Here is a 17344-nt window from a genome sequence, read left to right on the forward strand (position 1 = left end):
ATATTACAGATTGAGTATCCCTTTTCTGAAATGCCTGGGATGAGAAATGTTTCAGAGTTTCTGAATTTTGGGATATTAGCATGTATATAATAAGATATTTTGGGGAATGCGACCCAAGTCTAAACACGAAATGCATTTATGTTTCACATACACCTTATATAGATAGGCTGAAGGTAATTTTATATAATATTTTACATAATTTTGTCCATGAAAAACAACATTTTGACTGTGTTTTGACTGTGACCCATCACATGAGGTCAGGTGTGGAATTTCCCATGGTGGCATCATGTCAGCACTCAAAAAGATTCAGATTTTGGAGCATTTTGGGTTTTGGATTTTCAGACTAGGGATGCTCAACCTGTATCTCTATTTTAAATAACGTTATTTTATTCTTTCTTTTATATACAGATAAGTGTTCTCTATTATTACTTAGCCTAACACTAATTTTTATTTTTTATTCTAATGTCCATTCATACCTCTGCTTTTTTTTTTTTTTTTTTTTTGAGACAGAGTCTCACTCTGTCGCCCAGGCTGGAGTGTAGTGGCGTGATCTCGGCTCACTGCAACCTCTGCCTCCCGGATTCAAGCCTCCCAAAGTGCTGGGATTACAGGCGTGAGCCACCACGCCCGGTATGTTCTTTTATTTTTTTGTTCTTCTTATGAAAATAGCTTCTGATCTTCTTATTTCCCTTAAATCCAAACCCATTCATTATCAGTAGGTGCAGGCATCTGGTGGCTTCAGTGTGTCCTGCTGTGCAGCCACACCTGAGCATTTATATTTTAAAGTACATGTTATTTTATTACACATTTTTAAAAATCTATCCTTTATGTTAAAGAAGTGATTCTCAGCTGGGGGTATTTTGTCCCACCTTGCCCTGGGACATTCACTTTTCGTTGCCAGAACTGGGGGTGAGGTGCTTCTTGAATCTAGTGGGGAGAGGCCTGGGATGCTGCTGAACATCCCACAATGCACAGGACAGCCCCCTCACAAGAGTAAAGTGGCCCAAAATGTCAATAGTGTTGAGGTTGAGAAACCCTGTGTTAGAGTTAGGGTATTACAACTAATTTTAAAAATGTGTGGCCCGGCACAGTGGCTCACCCCTGTAATCCTAGCACTTTGGGAGGCTGAGGCAGGCGGATCACGTGAGGTTGGGAGTTTGAGACCAGCCTGACCAACATGGAGAAACACCATCTCTACTAAAAATACAAAATTAGCTGGGCATGGTGGCACATGCCTGTAATCCCAGCTACTCAGGAGGCTGAGGCAATAGAATTGCTTGAACCCAGGAGGCGGAAGTTCCGGTGAGCCGAGATCGCCCCACTGCACTCCAGTCTGGGCAGCAAGATTGAAACTCCGTCTCAAAAAAAAAAAAAAATGTGTTTAGAGAGGTTATGTAATCCATGAATTTCATCTGGGATGTTAAAGGGAGTTTACAAAATATTTATTATAAAAAGTTATAAACCACTGGCATAAATCAAAATAAGAGGAAGTAGTCTGGGTAGACTTTGGATTCCTCACTTTCACCACAGCCCTTGAACTCATGTAAAGAGAAAATAACTTTGGAAAAGTGTTCTGTCCTTTCATCTCACATGAAAGCCAGAGGTCAAATGTGAAACTCCAGTGTTTCTGAACCGCAGAGCGTCCATCTTTCCAGCTGTGTTTCTCCAATGTCTTCCACCAAGCGGCCTCATTTCAGGTAATATTTGCTCTCTCCTCCCAGTCTGATGATGACTGTTTAGGGAATACCCAAGAGAGTCTAAATTGCTCACAGGATTTGGTAGAAACCACTCCCGTTTCAGTCACCAGCCGGCCCTGGGTCTTTATCACAATTGCTATCCTAGAGGAACACAGCTGCACGAAGGCACCAAGGGCTTCCTCCTTATGCCACAAATATCCTAAGAAGAATGTCTCAGAATTATTTCAAGGTGTGGCACTTAGTGCGGCCAGCATGTGGGAGAAGTGAGTTTGTATACTGTACCACTGAACACATGCCTTCTCAAGATGCATGAGGAGGCCTTCATTATAAGTGGCGTTAAACAAATGGAATGGAAAATTCCAGAGGTTGCAAAACAAAATAGGGGTGAGCAGAGATACTGTCTTCTGATGCAGTATTTAGACCCAAGTTCCGCCATTTATCATGCTGTGTGGCTTTGGGCAGAACCTTATCCTCTCTGTGCCTAGATGGATGTCCTGTTCCGTGAAAAGGGGATCGTGAGGTATGAAGTGACTAGCAGGTGTCAGCACACAAGTTGTGCTGCTAGTTTCTTTGGGTTAATAAATCCACTTGAGGCTGTACTGTATCTCAGCAGGATGGGCCCCGCCCATGTCAGACCTGGAGCTTGCTTTCCATGAGTTACATTTATGGCAGCTCGGTTAGCACTGGGAAAGGATCCCAGGCCTTAAGCCAGCCATGTACTTTGAGCTACCGGAGGCTACTCAATTAGGGACTGGCTTTGGACCTTCAAACCAACTTAAGAGATGGTAATTATTAGCACTTGCTATGTGCAGGTTGTCCATGCATCATCTCATTTTATTCTCATGAGATTCCAAAATAGAGTGCCACTGTCCTGCTAACGCTTGAGGAAAGTGGGGCCCAGAGCAGCGAAGCCACTGCCCAGGCTCACAGCGGCGAGAAGCGAAGGAGCCAGGGCGGGACTGAGCCCAGGCACGGTCCTGACCCGCTGCCTCTGAACCTGGTCAGGGCTTCATCCCTTCCTGCTGGAGAAATCGCTGCCAAAGCCTGCTCACACAGCCCCTGGGCGGCGGAGGCGAGGTGAAGCCAGTCAGCCTTTCTCCGAGACTTCCAACTCACCGGGCCTGGAGCTCGTCCCCTTCTCAGCCCAGCGCTGAGCCCCCAAGACTTGGCTCCCGGCTACCACATCTGCTTGGAGAAGAAATGGGTGTGGCCCAAAGAGCAGATTTATGTTGTCCTCAGCGCCTTGGGCTCCATCCCAGCTGCACAGAATTGGATGGATGACAAGGATAAATGTGTTTGGCTCCGGGCTCAGTCACTGAGGATTTATTTAGCACCTGCAATAATAAAAAAATCACAATGCTGCAGCGCTCCAGGCACCACATGGGCATGCGGGGGAAACGGGAGTCTGTAGGGGGGAAGACACTCACCTGCCTGCTCTCTAGCTGCTTGCAATCTGGCTGTGGGAGAGAGATGAATCCCGCGGCATCTCAGAGGAGGAGGGAGGTGGGATGTATTTGAGATGAGGAGCCTGAGAGGTTAAGTACTTTGTTTGAGGTTACACAGCTAATGAGGAACCAAACGAGAGCTGCCGATTTATTGACACTTATCATGAGTTTTCGTTGTTGCAAACATACGTGAAAAAATAAAATTTAAAAGCACAGCTAAGCAACGCAGGAGAAAAAAATCACCCCAAATCCCACCACCCAGAGTTAGCCACCAACACCCTCACCTCCATGCGTTTTCTTTCCTTGTGCAGATATGCATGGACATGTCTACAGTGTGTATGCCCTTAGTTTACGAAGCTGGATACTGCACAGTATACCGCTCAGGAAACTGCTTATCTCCTTTCAGATGCAGATCAGCTATTTTTTTTCTTTTTTAGAGACAGGGTCCTTGCTATAGTGCCCAGGCTGGTTTTGAACTCCTAGGCTGAAGCAGTGCTCCCACCTCAGCCTCCCAAAGTGTGGGATTACAGGCAGTAGCCACCAGCCCACCCTGCATCAGCTATTTAAATGGCTCCCAGCTGCGGCTGTGGAGTTCAGCAGGGGCTGCTGTCAGGCAGGGAGAAGGGGGAGTTTCCAGGATAATTCTCTCTCCTAGAGGCAGCGCTGGGCTCCTGGAAGGAGGAGAACCTCCAAACCAGGCCTCAGGAGGCAGGTGGGAGGATAGGCGGGCGGCAAGCGACATCCAGAAGGAAAAGCTGGGCCTGGTGAGACAAGTGTTGGGGGGCTGAAGAAAAGAGAGACTGAAGGGAGCCATTTCAGGTCTGGGGGGGGCCAGGGGGTAGCAGAATGTAGAAAAGGGTATGCTTTGGGGTTCCTCTAAAAGATGGGAGGAGCTGGCAAGCCCTGGCCTTAAGGAAAGGAAAAGTCCCATCTCTGGGTTCTTTAGCTAACAAAAGCCACTGACCCCTGTAGCTTCCCCATGCCTGTTCAGAAGGTGCTTCAGCCAGTAAAAAGGCAAAAAAGCAGCGTTTTCCCAAATGTGTCCCTGGAAAGACAAATCCCATAAAAGGATTCACCAGAAAAAAGGCTTAAAAAAAAGTTTGAGAAATGAGATGTACAGTCATTTCATCTCAGAGAATCGCAACACACAGAAACTTACCTGCAGCCCTGAGAAGTAAGAGATCCGCAGAACCTGGGTTTCCCAAGTTTATTTTCTCGGGTAGCTCTCACTGCCTAAGGAATTTCCCTTGTGCTCCCGCCCAGTGATGTTGGAGAAGACACCGCAGAGCCACTGGGCTGGGCATCTCCCTCAACAAGGCAGCCTCCTTAAGATCACAGGAAAGCCCCAGGCCTCACGGCAGGTTTACACCCTGTGTGCCCCGGCAGCCCTGTGAAAGGGCAGAAGTCAGTGATCCCAAGGTCTCTTCCAGCTCCAGCACTCTATCCTGTTTCTGCAGCTCATGCCCAATCAAATCTCACTTCAGGGGAATATCCATGGAGTGTGGTGGCCTGGGGCAGTTGTATTTGCTGGATAAATTCACTTATTTAATTCAACAAATATTTCTTGAATCCTTACTATGTGCCAGATACTGTTCTAGGCATTGGGGATTCCAAAGTCAGTAAAATAAAATCTGGGGGAAACAGACTACAGACAAATGTAATAACTATATCATGTATATGTCAGCTAAGGACTTTGGAGAGAAATAAAGTATGGTAAACAAAAAGTGTGGGGTGGCAAGGCTGAGAGAGGGATACTCTGTTAGATAAAGTGATCCGGGAAGGCTTTTCTAAAGAGGTGACTTGTGAGCAGAGACTAGCAGGAAGTGAGGGATAAAGCCATGCGGAGATCCCAGGGCTGAGCGTTCAGGCAGAAGAAACAGCAAGGGCAAACATTCTGAGGCAGGAACAAGGAGGCACACGAGGGGAACATTGTGGCTCAAGGGAATAAAAGAGGGGGAGCGTGTTAGGAGATGAGGTCAGAGAGTGAGTGGGGGCCAGATCTCCTAGGACTGGAAGGCCAAGATAAGAACTTCGGATATTTATTCAGAGATGAGAAGCCAGTGGAGGGGTTGAGGAGGGGCATAATGTGAGGTACAAGGAAGAATTTCTGCTTTCTAATAGGGATAAACAGTTTTCTAAATAGGGAGAGCCTACCCTCTGCCTTGGAACTTATGAAAAGAAGTTGAATTTTCATTTGATGGTTGAAGATCTTGCAAGGCCTTGGTACTGGTCATCCATCGTTGTACAGACACTTACTCAGTACTCCAAGCTCCCACCTGCCATGGTGGCAAGGAATTTGATCTCAGTCATATTTCAAGAGGCAGGTCTTCTTTTCACCCATGGCTACACGTGAGTCCAGCAACTTACAGGTGCCTGGGAAGGGAAGGGTCTCTGGTCTCCAGTCCATCATGGATAATGCAACTTTATGTTCATGGTCCAAGTCCATTGGTCTTTTCAAAGGCAAGCAGCTCTATCCTCCATAACCAACAGGGCTTCCAAGATCCTTCCCTTGGGTCCAGGACCATAGCTCTAAGAACTCAGTCTCCTGGTATCTACTCACCACCCACTGGCAGTCGGGCATTGGTGGATGCTGCATGCATGAGTAAGGCACCGTCACCTTTCCTCAAGCCTCTTATAATCTTTGGTCCAACAGACAAGTACACCAGCGTTTATGGTTGGGGAGGCTGGGCTCTGCTGGGGCAGTGGGATAGAACATAGTGCTGTTTTCCCTATGAGAAATAAGCCAAAGTAGGATACACAACTCCATGTCTTAAGTGTTTTTATTATTTATTTATTTATTTATTATTATTATTATTATTTTTTTATTTTATTTTTTTTTGAGACAGAGTCTCGCTCTGTTCCCAGGCTGGAGTGCAGTGGTGCGATCTCGGCTCACTGCAAGCTCCGCCTCCCAGGTTTACGCCATTCTCCTGACTCAGCCTCCCAAGTAGCTGGGACTACAGGCGCCCGCCACCACGCCCAGCTAATTTTGTTTTTGTATTTTTAGTACTGATGGGGTTTCACCGTGTTAGCCAGGATGGTCTTGATCTCCTGATCTTGTGATCCACCCACCTCAGCCTCCCAAAATGCTGGGATTACAGGCGTGAGCCACTGCGCCCGGTCCTATTTTTTATTTTTTGAGATGGAATCTCACTCTGTCATCTCGGCTTACTGCAACCTCCATTTCCCAGGCTCAAGTGGTCCTCCTGCCTCAGCCTCTCAAGTAGCTGGGACTACAGACATGTGCTACCATGCCTGGCTAATTTTTTTTGTATTTTTGGTAGACACGGGGTTTCACCATATTGCTCAGGCTGGTCTCGAACCCCTGACCTCAAGTGATTCGCCTTCCTTAGCCTCCCAAAGTGCTGGGATTACAGGTGTCAGCCACCGTACCCGGCCTTAAGATTTTTTTAGAAAGATAACTTGAAACTCTGGGTGATGGGAATCAGGCAGGGGCAGGTTCCGACTGAGCCCTGAAACCTCACCTGGACCCTCCACTCCGCCTGGGAGGAAGACCCAGGTCACCTTAGTCAGGAAGCAGGAATGCCGCAATGACCTGCCGCAGTGGAGATTTGTCCTCTTCTGTGTACAACATTTTTCAGTAAAGGGTACGGTGTCAGCTGGCAGCATTGCTGCAGCACTAATGAAGTTTAGGAAGTGCTTAGCTGAAAAGGGCATGGGTGGGGTAATTGAATTGGTGTCAGACACATAATGGCTTTGAGAGTCTTTTCTCCCTCATTTGATAAGAAGAGCCCTTTCCCTCACATCCTCCGTAAAAGCTCAAGGAGAAAAGGATGTTCACCCAGCTATACATCAATCCTGTCTATTGACTACGAGTTTTGGGAAATCATATGGAGAAGCATACTTTTTACGAAGGCTTTGGGGACTGTTAATAGCAGGCTGGGCAAAGCACAGGAAGAGGCTACGAATGAGTGTTTTCCACAGGACGCTGCCAGGTGATAAAATATTAAAACCATTACCAACACTCCCACTTCAAGGAATGGTCTTAATGATTCTGTCAGATATCTGGGTCCTGTGGTCAAATGGACAGTGAGCTTTTTGGGCCTCATCAAAAAATAGCTTACTGGGTGCCAGGTCCTGTGCTAAACGCTTACACGTTGTCTCCTTTCATCTTCACAACAACCCAAGAGGGAGGAGCTATTGTTATCCCCATTTCACATATGCAAAAACTGAGGCTTGCCCAAAACCACACAGTTCTGATGTGGCAAAGCTTGGCTTGAAATCTAAGATTGGGATTCCAAAGCCAATGCTTTCCTTCTTTACTTCCCTGATTAAAAAACGTAAAGGTGGCCTGGCGCGGTGGCTCATGCCTGTAACCCCAACACTTTGGGATGCGGAGGCAGGCGGATCACCTGTGGTCAGGAGATCAAGACCAGCCTGGCCAACATGGTGAAACCCTGTCTCTACTAAAAATACAAAAAAATTAGCTGGCCATGGTGGCGGGTGCCTATAATCCCAGCTACTTGGGAGGCTGAGGCAGGAGGATCGCTTGAACCCAGGAGGTGGAGTTTGAAGTGAGCTGAGACCATGCCATTACACTCCAGTCTGGGCAACAAGAAAGAAACTCCATCTCAAATAAATAAGTAAATAAATAAATAAATAACCTAAAGGAAAACAGACTACATCCATATACGGTTAAAAAGAAAAGTACAAGAGCTTACAATAAAAATTAACTCTCTGTCCCACCAGACCCAAGTCCAGAGGCAACTACCGTTACTGCTTCCTTGTTTACCTTCCGACTACAGAGAATACACACACAGATGTGTACACGATTGTGTCTACGTGTATATATATAAAATGGGTGTGCACTATCCACACTGTCTGCACCTTGCTTTTGGCACTTAACATTTCTCGGAAGACTTTAGCAAAACCTAACAAAGACAGCTGCCTGATTTTAATATGGCTGAATAATGGTTCGTCGTATAGATATAGAGGCGCTTAACCAGTCTGCTCCTTAGGGACATTTAGGATGTCTACATTTTTGCCATCAGCAATAATGCCGCAATGCGCATCTTCAGGGAAATGCCCCTGCACACGTGTGTGAGCAACGCTGTGCTTTTAATAACAAGAGCAAGATGATATCCCAGGACAGGTGGGTTCACTGTCCAGGTCACTAGCTCAGAGATTGCACTTGTAGCATCGCAAAGGCATTGAGGGTGGCACCAAGAAGGCCATGCAGGCCCTCGGCTTTGGGATATTCCATACGAACGACCCTCCAGGTTTGACAGATACAGACCTGGGCACCCCAGGGACATTTCTGAATGTAAACAAGAATATGGATAGCAGGGCTTCCTCTTTCCAGCCGCCATTTCATCACAGCACCCTTAGGGCAGCCAGGAACTGTAAAGGTTGTCTGTGAAGACTGCTGCCTGGGCAGATGGGGACCTTCATGCCTAGATCACCAAAGGAGGCATGGATCAAAGTCCAGAGAGTTGAAGTAGCTTGCCCAAGGTCACATAGAAGGTGGGGAGGACCTTGGCTCTAGCAGGCCTGCTCAACAGAGGTTTGTCTCGTCTCTGGTTGTTACTAAGGCTCAAGAAGATCTTGATGCCCTCTCTAGGCCCAGGGGAGTGGGTACAGTACCAATGAGTGATGCCTCCCCTGCTGGTAGCAGGCAGTGGTTAGTGTCCTTGTCACGATTTCTTTTTCTTTTTCTTTCTTTTTTTTTTTTTTTTTTAAGACGGAGTCTCACTCTGTCGCCCAGGCTGGAGTGCAGCGGCGCAATCTCAGCTCACTGCAAGCTCCGCTTCCCGGGTTCACGCCATTCTCCTGCCTCAGCCTCCTGAGTAGCTGGGACTACAGGCGCCCGCCACCGCGCCTGGCTAATTTTTTTTTTTTTTTTTTTGTATTTTTATTAGAGACGAGGTTTCACCGTGGTCTCAATCTCCTGACCTCGTGATCCGCCCGCCTTGGCCTCCCAAAGTGCTGGGATTACAGGCGTGAGCCACTGCGCCCAGCTTCTTTTTCTTTTTTTGAGAAGGAGTTTTTGTCTGTCGCCCAAGCTGGAGTGCAGTGGCATGATCTCAGCTCACCGCCACCTCCACCTCTTGGGTTCAAGCGATTCTCCTGCCTCAGCTTCTTGAGTAGCTGGGATTACAGGCGTCTGCCACCATGCCTGGCTAATTTTTGTATTTTTAGTAGAGATGGGGTTTCACCATGTTGGCCAGGCTGGTCTCAAACTCCTAACCTCAAATGGTCTGCCTGCCTTGGCCTCCCAAAGTGCTGGGATTACAGGCGTGAGCCACTGTAACCGGCCTCGTCACTATTTTATAAATTCCCACTATTTTTTTTATTAGTCAGGATAGTATATGGTGGTAACAAACAAACCTGAAATTGTACTGGCCTATTACCAAATTTATTTTTCACTTACTCATTCACCCCCGACTCAGGGAACTCCCCTGTCAGCTGTCCTCCCTATGGTGACTCAGTGACCCAATCTGCTTTCATCTTGTGGCTTGCCACCTCAATGTGTGGCCTCTAGAACTGCCCCGGGGGAGGGGCACATCGCTGGGACAGGGTATGGAGGATGCAGGCAGATCACACACTGACCCTCAAGTGTCTCACCCCGGTCACTTACAGCCCACTGGCCAGAATTATTCACGTGGCCACGCCTAACTGCAAGGGACTTGGAATGGCAGGGAGGGGTCTCCTGGATAGTCTTGAGCAGTATGTGTCTCTGCCAAGCTCCTAGGCTGGTGGGGCTGGCAAATACGGGCTGCTTTAAGCAGGGGAATGACCACAGGTCTGTGGGGAGGTTGTTAACAGTAGATTTGGGGACCAATATTAGCTTTTAGGTGCTACCCAATTGCTAATTCATCTGCAGGGGTCACTTATTTTTCCTAACCATCTTACTGTAGAATAAAACACACATACACAGAAAACCTCACAAAACAAATGTAGAGTTTAAGCTGAGTAAATAAATGCCTCCGAAGGCAAGAAGGAATTAATCGTTTTAGTTTTTGGACTCAGTGCTGTATTTTGCCATAGCATTTCTAACATAGCTTTGGAAAAGTGAAGTTTTGAATTTCAGAGGTATAATATTCCACTTTTAAACAGAGGGCTGTCTAACCTCGACAGCGAACTTGCAATCTGCCTGTGACCAAGGAGTGAGGAAGTCCTCCCCTCTCACAGTAAATGTTAGGTTGGAAGGTGGGGTTCCTGGGGCCGGCCAGCCAGTGGCCTGGGAAGCAGCTGAGAGCCTCTCCCCATTTTCCCTAACTGTGGACTTGGTTTCTGGATCATCCTGCTTCTTAGGCCCTGGTGCTTCAAGAGAAAGTTGAATTGGCCCCGAGAGGCCACCACACCCACCGTGTGGTCCCTCCTCCAGGCCAAGCTGCAGCCTGGAGGTCAGCCTGACCCTCGGGGACTCCCAGCTCTGGGCAGAAGCCTCATCGTCCCTGCCAAGGTATGTGTCAGCCTCAAGGCAGCACACAATGTTTTGGTAACTTGCAGAGGCTGAATCCTAGAAAGACCGCGTGTTCCTGGCCGCTGGACGCTGGCCTTGGTGATGCTCGCCCCCGTCCCGGAAGCCCGATGCACCTGCTGGGAGTCAGCACCGGGCCGGGCCTTCCAGCCAGCTCTGCCAGCACATATTTCTAGGCTCAAGTCAGACTTGGGAAAGCATGGCCCTCTCCTGGCTCCACATCCTGCTCCCCCTGCACCCATGGAGCAGCTGACCCAGTTTTTGGTAGAAAAATGAAAATCTTTACCAGTCAGATGAGAGGAGAGGAAGCAAATGCCACGCTGCCCTAATTTAGCCCAGACACAACCCTCCTTCTGAGGAAGGGATGAGGAGCTTGGGCCTTCTCACTCTCTCTTTTCAGAGCATTTGGAACAAACTCCCAAAATACCAGAGGCTGAGTGCAAACCTCCTTTGCTGTCATCAAGAGGGAGGATGAATCATGCAAAACACGCAATTTCTATCATCCCAAAATACTGCACATATACTTACATTTAGTGTCATTTTACATGTGCGAGGTATTTTTTTAAAAAATTCTTTTCTCTTTCACTCCTTTTTTTTTTTTTTGCTAAACCAAAAACACCAGCTGTAAAACCCACTGCTTCCTTCCCCGCCAAGTCTGCAGTGGCAGGAGGCGGCGGCAGCAGACAGCAGGGCCCCCTGTGCTCTGAGTCAGGCCTCCCTCTCAGTGGCTCCCTGCCTGCAAAACAAACTTAAAAGCTGGTGAATGGGACGTAGGGGCCCGCAAGCATGCAGGGAGGCCTAAAATATTTGCAGAGGCACACACTGTTCGCAGAATGAAAGGCCACTATGTAAATATCTGGGCCCCGGGTGAGGCGAGGCATTCTGAAAGTGGCTTTTCTGTTAGTCGCATCAAGCCAGCGAGGAAGCAAAGGCATTCATTCAAAAACATCACGCAGGAGCCACACCACAACTTCCTGGCCCCAGAGGGTAGACTCGAAAGGGACCACAGCCCTGAGGCCTGAGTTTCAACCTTTCTCCTTCGCTGCACGTTTCACAGGATGGTTCTGTGACAGCCGACAATGTCAGCTTTTAGGGATAGGCAGACAGGATTGATTTTCTCTCCTTTGGCAGGGAAAAGGCTTTTTTGGAAGACACTCAAAAGGCAACCATAGTTACTGATGGAGCATGGCAAGCATGAGACAGAGGCAGCTATTACCCAGGCTCGACAAAAGAGGAAAAAACGTGGGATGGATTTTGCAACAAGCCCCAAATGTTGATTCCAAGGACCCGAGGATGAGTGTAGAAGCGGAGCAGGCACACCTGACACCCCTCGCGGCATCCCCTTCAGATTCCCGGGAAGTCTCACAGAGACATGAAACCTGGCATCAGCTCCCTGACCAAGATGAGACCATGAACCAGTCAGAATGTTCACGAATCACATTGTCCTGGGGATGCATTTAGAACATTCTTGGATTTCACACCATTCATGTTGCCCCCTCTGAGCCAGAATGGGGCAGACAGCCCCAGGAAGGAAGGAAGGAAATAGTTTTGTTTCACTCAATCTCTGTCAGTGGATAGCCTTCCACTTGGGCAGGAATTATCGTCTAGGTCAGACAGAACCCAGTTTCATCTTCTCTATCCTCCTCTCTCCAAAGCAACAAAGACTGCAATTTCCAGCATACAACAAAGAGAGGGAGAGAGAGAGAGAGAGAGAGAGAGAGAGAGAGAGAGAGAGAGAGAGCGAGCACTAGCTGAAGACACACATCATCTTTTTCAGGTGTTTAATTGCTAGAGGAAGTATCTTCAACAGTGGTAGAAAGGGGAGGGTGCTAAGAGTGGCCGCTCAAAGAAGCGATGTAAACTACATTTGATTCTCTGGTTTAATCAGAGATTTTAAGAGCTGAGCAGAAGATCCAACTGTAGGCTGGCTCAGAAATACCCCAGATAATGCTCACCAGGCATGAACATCTGAGCTAGACGGGCATAGATCCACAAGCGGAAGCTGCCAGCACCCAACTGGGAGGCTTAGGACAAGGCATTTGCCTTGTCTGATGGCCAAGGTCAAGCCTGGATAGAGGGCTCTCCATGCAATGGAAAAAATACCAACAAGGGGCCAGAGAAAAGAGAGTAGAGCCTGAAGGGGAGAAAACTGCCCTCAAGGGCCAGAGGTAGCAGGTCTCTCTGAACATTACTACTCTACAAGAAACAGAGGCTCATCTTAGATGACTGCAATTTAGGGTCCTCTGAATGACACAAGAAGATATGGCTTCAACGGAACTGGCCTAAGAAGGAAGGGGAATGACAAAACAGTCTAAGACGAGATACAAAGGGAGCTGTCTAAAATAAGAAGGCAATACAAAGTAACCAAAAATAGAAGACCAGAGTCAAAGCTGCAGTTGAAGGGAATGAGAGCAGAATTGACTACAAAACAGCCTGTTAACCAAGAGAGGAAGAGGCCACACACTTTGTTCTCAGGATCTCTGTACACTCTTAAAAATTACTAAGGAGGCCGGGCACAGTGGCTCACGCCTATAATCCCAGTACTTTGGGAGGCCAAGGTGGGAGAGTTGCTTGAGCCCAGGAGTTTGAGGTTAGTGTGCTACGATTGCACCACTACACTCCAGTTGGGGAGACAGAGGGAGACCTTGCTTCAAAAAAAGAGAAAGAAATAACTACATTTGCCAAATAAAAAATATTTTAGAGAACAGAAATACTGGCTTATATTTTGAAAACCTTTAATTAATAGAAGACAGCTGGATTCTCATATCTGCTTCTGAGTTCAATCTGTTGTAATGTGTTGTTTTGATTGAAGTATATGAAGAAAACCTGACCTTAGACAGATATGTTGTTGGAAAAGGGAAGAGAGTTTAATAGTCTTTTGAGAGATCCTTGTAGGTAGTCTTCTTTGATACTCTGCCAAAACTCATAGGTAATAATTTCTTAAAGGTTAGTCGTGGGAGGTTGGGTGCAGTGGCTCATGCCTGTAATCCCAGCACTTTGGGAGGCCGAGGCAAGCAGATAACCTAGGGTCGGAAGTTCAAGACCAGCCTGGCCAACATGGCAAAACCCCTTGTCTACTAAAAATACAAAAATTAGCTGGGTGTGGTGGCAGGTGCCTGTAATCCCAGCTACTCGGGAGTCTGAGGCATGAGAATAGCTTGAATCCAGAAGGTGGAAGCTGCAGTGAGCTGAGATCGCACCACTGCACTCCAGCCTGGGTGACAAGAGCGAAACTCCGTCTCCAGGAAAAAGAAAGGTTAGTTGTGGAATCTAAAACCACATCACTTGGTTACATCAAAATTCATTATGGGGGCTGGGCGCAGTGGCTCACGCCTATAATCCCAGCACTTTGGGAGGCCAAGGCAGGAGGATCACTTCAGGTCAGGAGTTCGAGACCAGCCTGGGCAACATGGGGGAAACTCTGTTTCTACTAAAAACACAAAGATTAGCCAGGCATGGTGGTGTGTGCCTATAGTCCCAGCTACTTGGGATGCTCAGGCACGAGAGTCGCTTGAACCCGGGAGTCAGAGGCTGCAGTGACCCAAGATCACACCACTGCATTCCACAGCCTGGGCGGCAGAGTGACACTATCTCAAAAAAACAAAACAAAGCAAAACAAAACAAAACAAACAAAAAATACTAAAACAAAAACCCAACGTTCATTATGGGCCTTTCACTCTGAATGGATCTTTTACCCATGCGTGATTTTTTAACAGCAATACATTGGTCATTTGGAAGATATTGACTCTATTGCAGATCTGAAAGTTGACACATATCATTTTCATTATACAATATATATTTTAAAATCACATATCCTTTGCTCTTGTCTCCTAGGCTGGAGTGCAATGGCACGATCTTGGCTCACTGTAACCTCCGCTTCCTGGGTTCAAGCGATTCTCCTGCCTCAGCCTCCCGAGTAGCTGGGATTACAGGCACCCGCCACCACACCTGACTAACTTTTGTACTTTTAGTAGAGACGGGGTTTTGCCATGTTGGCCAGGCTGGTCTCGAACTCCTGACTTCGTGATCCGCCCACCTTGGCCTCCCAAAGTGCTGGGATTATAGGTGTGAGGCACTGTGCCTGGCCAAAATTGCATTTCTTAATATCACCACCAATTTCATGGAAAAAAAAAAAAGTCTATTGGGAAATTGTCAAGCCAACAGTAGCAGATACATATTTCACAAAATTCCAATTTTTGCTTGAAAGCTCAGATTTTGTCACTGACAACAAAACTGTCTGTTGTCTCTTTGAAGTAATAGGCTCATTTTGCTCATTTTTTTTGAGAAAGTGTATGCCAAATACCCCTTCCTGAATAACCATACAACATAACCATAATGACAGTCTGTCACTCTTTCAAGTAAAAGTGGTGTCCCATGACAAAAGCAGCTACTTCAGCTTGCAACTCAAAACAGTTGCACAAAAGCTTTACTTCAAGACAACAATACTTAACTGTGCAACAGAAGTGCTTTACATATATATTCCATTTTGTCACACAAAATATTAAGAAGATGTGAACTCAAGGGTCAATATGTATTAAAAGTAATCATATTTATTGCTTCATCAAGTACATTCTTTTTTTTTTTTTGAGACAGAGTTTTGCTCTTGTTGCCCAGGCTGGAGTGCAGTGGCGCAATCTCAGCTCACTGCAACCTCCACCTCCCAGGTTCAAGCAATTCTCCTGCCTCAGCCTCCGGAGTAGCTGGGATTACAGGTGTGCACCACCATGCCCAGCTAATTTTGTATTTTTAGTAGAGATGGGGTTTCTCCACGTTGGTCAGGCTGGTCTCGAACTCCCAACCTCAGGCGATTCGCCCGCCTCGGCCTCCCAAAGTGTGGGGATTACAGGTGTGAGCCACTGCCCCAGGCCTGCTTCATCGAGTACATTCTTAAGTGAAACTGGCATTTTTTTCTAAGAACATGCAATGATTAGACTAGCACAATTTGGTAGTCCGCTTTGACTAGCGCTAAGTTTTACCCTTCATTGTTTCTGCACCATCAATGTAAATGTCAACACAGTGGAAAAATCAAACACCGTCTTATTAAGATGATTTTAACCTCAGGGATTCTCAGGTGTCTCTCTGCAGACCACTCTTTGAAAAAGAGTACTATAGCAAAAAAAAAAAAAAAAAAAAAAAAGAAAAAAAAAGGAAAAAAATCATTTTAAAGAGGACAAAGTTAAGAGTGTAATTTAATAAAAGGGCAAGATGCAAATGATGAGCAAATACAATAGATATGGAAGACTGGAGAGTCAATCTATGAATTACGTAACCCAAAGGAAGAAACTTGAACTGTAAGGAGCAGGAGCAATCATTGAAGGCCAGGCATGGTGGCTCACGTCTGTAATCCCAGCACTTTGAGAGGCCAAGGTAGGAGGATCGCTTGAGCCGAGGAGTTTGAGACCAGCCTGGGCAACATAGTGCAACCCTGTCTCTACAAAAATAATTTTTAAAAACATTAAAAAAAGAAGAAGTCATCAAAGACATACAAGAAAAAAAATTCTGAGTTAAAAATCTGATTCTGTATATGAAAGGGCTCACTGAGCTTCAGGGAAAATTAATGCCATACACAAGCCAAAGGGTTTAATGACGAGATCCAGGTTTAAAAAACCATTACTGATGAACAAAAATTGGTCAACACTCACACAGGTCTTCTTCACAACAGTAAATGCCAAGAAACAAAGGTCATCTACATAGGACGTTCAGAGGGAAATGTTGGCCAAGGATTCTGTACTCCACCAAGTCACTGGGTGTGTGTGCATGCAACAAGAAGACATTCTGGGTTATGCAAAACTCAGAAAATAAAAATCACTTTTGTATTCTTCCTGGGTACAAAATCCTCTTGCCCTTCCAGTCAACTCATATTCATTGAGAAGATTAAAAATGCTGAGTTCACTGCTGACTTTGGTCATTAATGGGAATGCCTTACACCCTTAAGAGGAGAGAACACTCAAGGAATTTACTCTGAATTCATTGGAGAACTCAAGGAAATGGATGAGACATATATCCATTTAACCGAATGGTTGGACTGTTATCTTACCTTTTTCTAACTGGATAAAAAAGTTTTTTTCACATGAAACTGTTAAGAAGGATAAGGTAAATCTGTATGTATTCACATGCAAAGATGTCCAGGATATATTTTTAATTAAAACAAAAGAAACAGGTTTCAGAGCAATAAATATAGGTAGAATACATGACCCTATTTTAGTTCCCCTCCAAAGGGAAAACACACATGTCTACACGCACACAAATATACACACACATACATCTGTGTATAAATGCATAGAAAAAAGTCCGGAAGGACACAGAGTGGTTACATTTTGTGTGACAGAGGAATGTCAGGAGTTGAATTGTGTCCCCCTCTCTACTCCCCAATAAAATTCAAATGTTGGAATTCTAACCTCCAAAACCTCATAATGTGACTATTTGGAGATAACATATCTATTTGGAGATAATCAAGTTAAAATCAGGTCATCAGAGTGGGCCCTAATCCAGTATGACTGCTATCCTTCTAAGAAGGGGACATTTGGACACAGAGACATGCACAGAGGGAAGACTATGAGAACAGGCCTGGAAAAGATGGAGAAGATGTGCAACCCAAGGAGAGAGGCCTGGAGCACATCCTGCCCTGGTAGCCCTGCAACACCCTACTTTGGACTTCCAGCCTCCAGACTGCGGGACCACAAATTTCTATTGTTTAAGCCACCCAGTTTGTGGTATTTTGTTATGGCAGCCCCGGCAAAACAACAAGGAGACTCTTA

At 46.4% G+C, this 17344-nt stretch overlaps 1 long non-coding RNA gene across 1 annotated transcript, besides 2 other annotated features; it reads right to left on the reverse strand.

Moving 5' to 3' along the window:
* Positions 1–1420: 1420 nt before the first annotated feature.
* LOC124907781 (uncharacterized) lies at positions 1421–5953 on the reverse strand. Its single transcript, XR_007086472.1, has 2 exons — positions 3125–5953; positions 1421–3031 (listed from the first exon to the last, which is right to left on the reverse strand). It is a non-coding gene; the product is annotated as an uncharacterized LOC124907781 (long non-coding RNA).
* Positions 5960–6142: a silencer, noted in NCBI's record as "fragment chr2:65522924-65523106 (GRCh37/hg19 assembly coordinates)". NCBI's record gives its function as "represses an EF-1alpha promoter that drives an FKBP-Casp9 reporter gene in an ReSE screen in K562 erythroleukemia cells {active_cell/tissue: K562}" and the evidence as "EXISTENCE:reporter gene assay evidence [ECO:0000049][PMID:32094911]".
* Positions 11000–11109: an enhancer, noted in NCBI's record as "active region_15928". NCBI's record gives its function as "activates an Ori minimal core promoter by ATAC-STARR-seq in GM12878 lymphoblastoid cells {active_cell/tissue: GM12878}" and the evidence as "EXISTENCE:reporter gene assay evidence [ECO:0000049][PMID:35858748]".

This window comes from Homo sapiens, chromosome 2, assembly GCF_000001405.40.
Source record: "Homo sapiens chromosome 2, GRCh38.p14 Primary Assembly".
In the NCBI taxonomy this organism is placed as follows: Eukaryota; Metazoa; Chordata; class Mammalia; order Primates; family Hominidae; genus Homo; species Homo sapiens.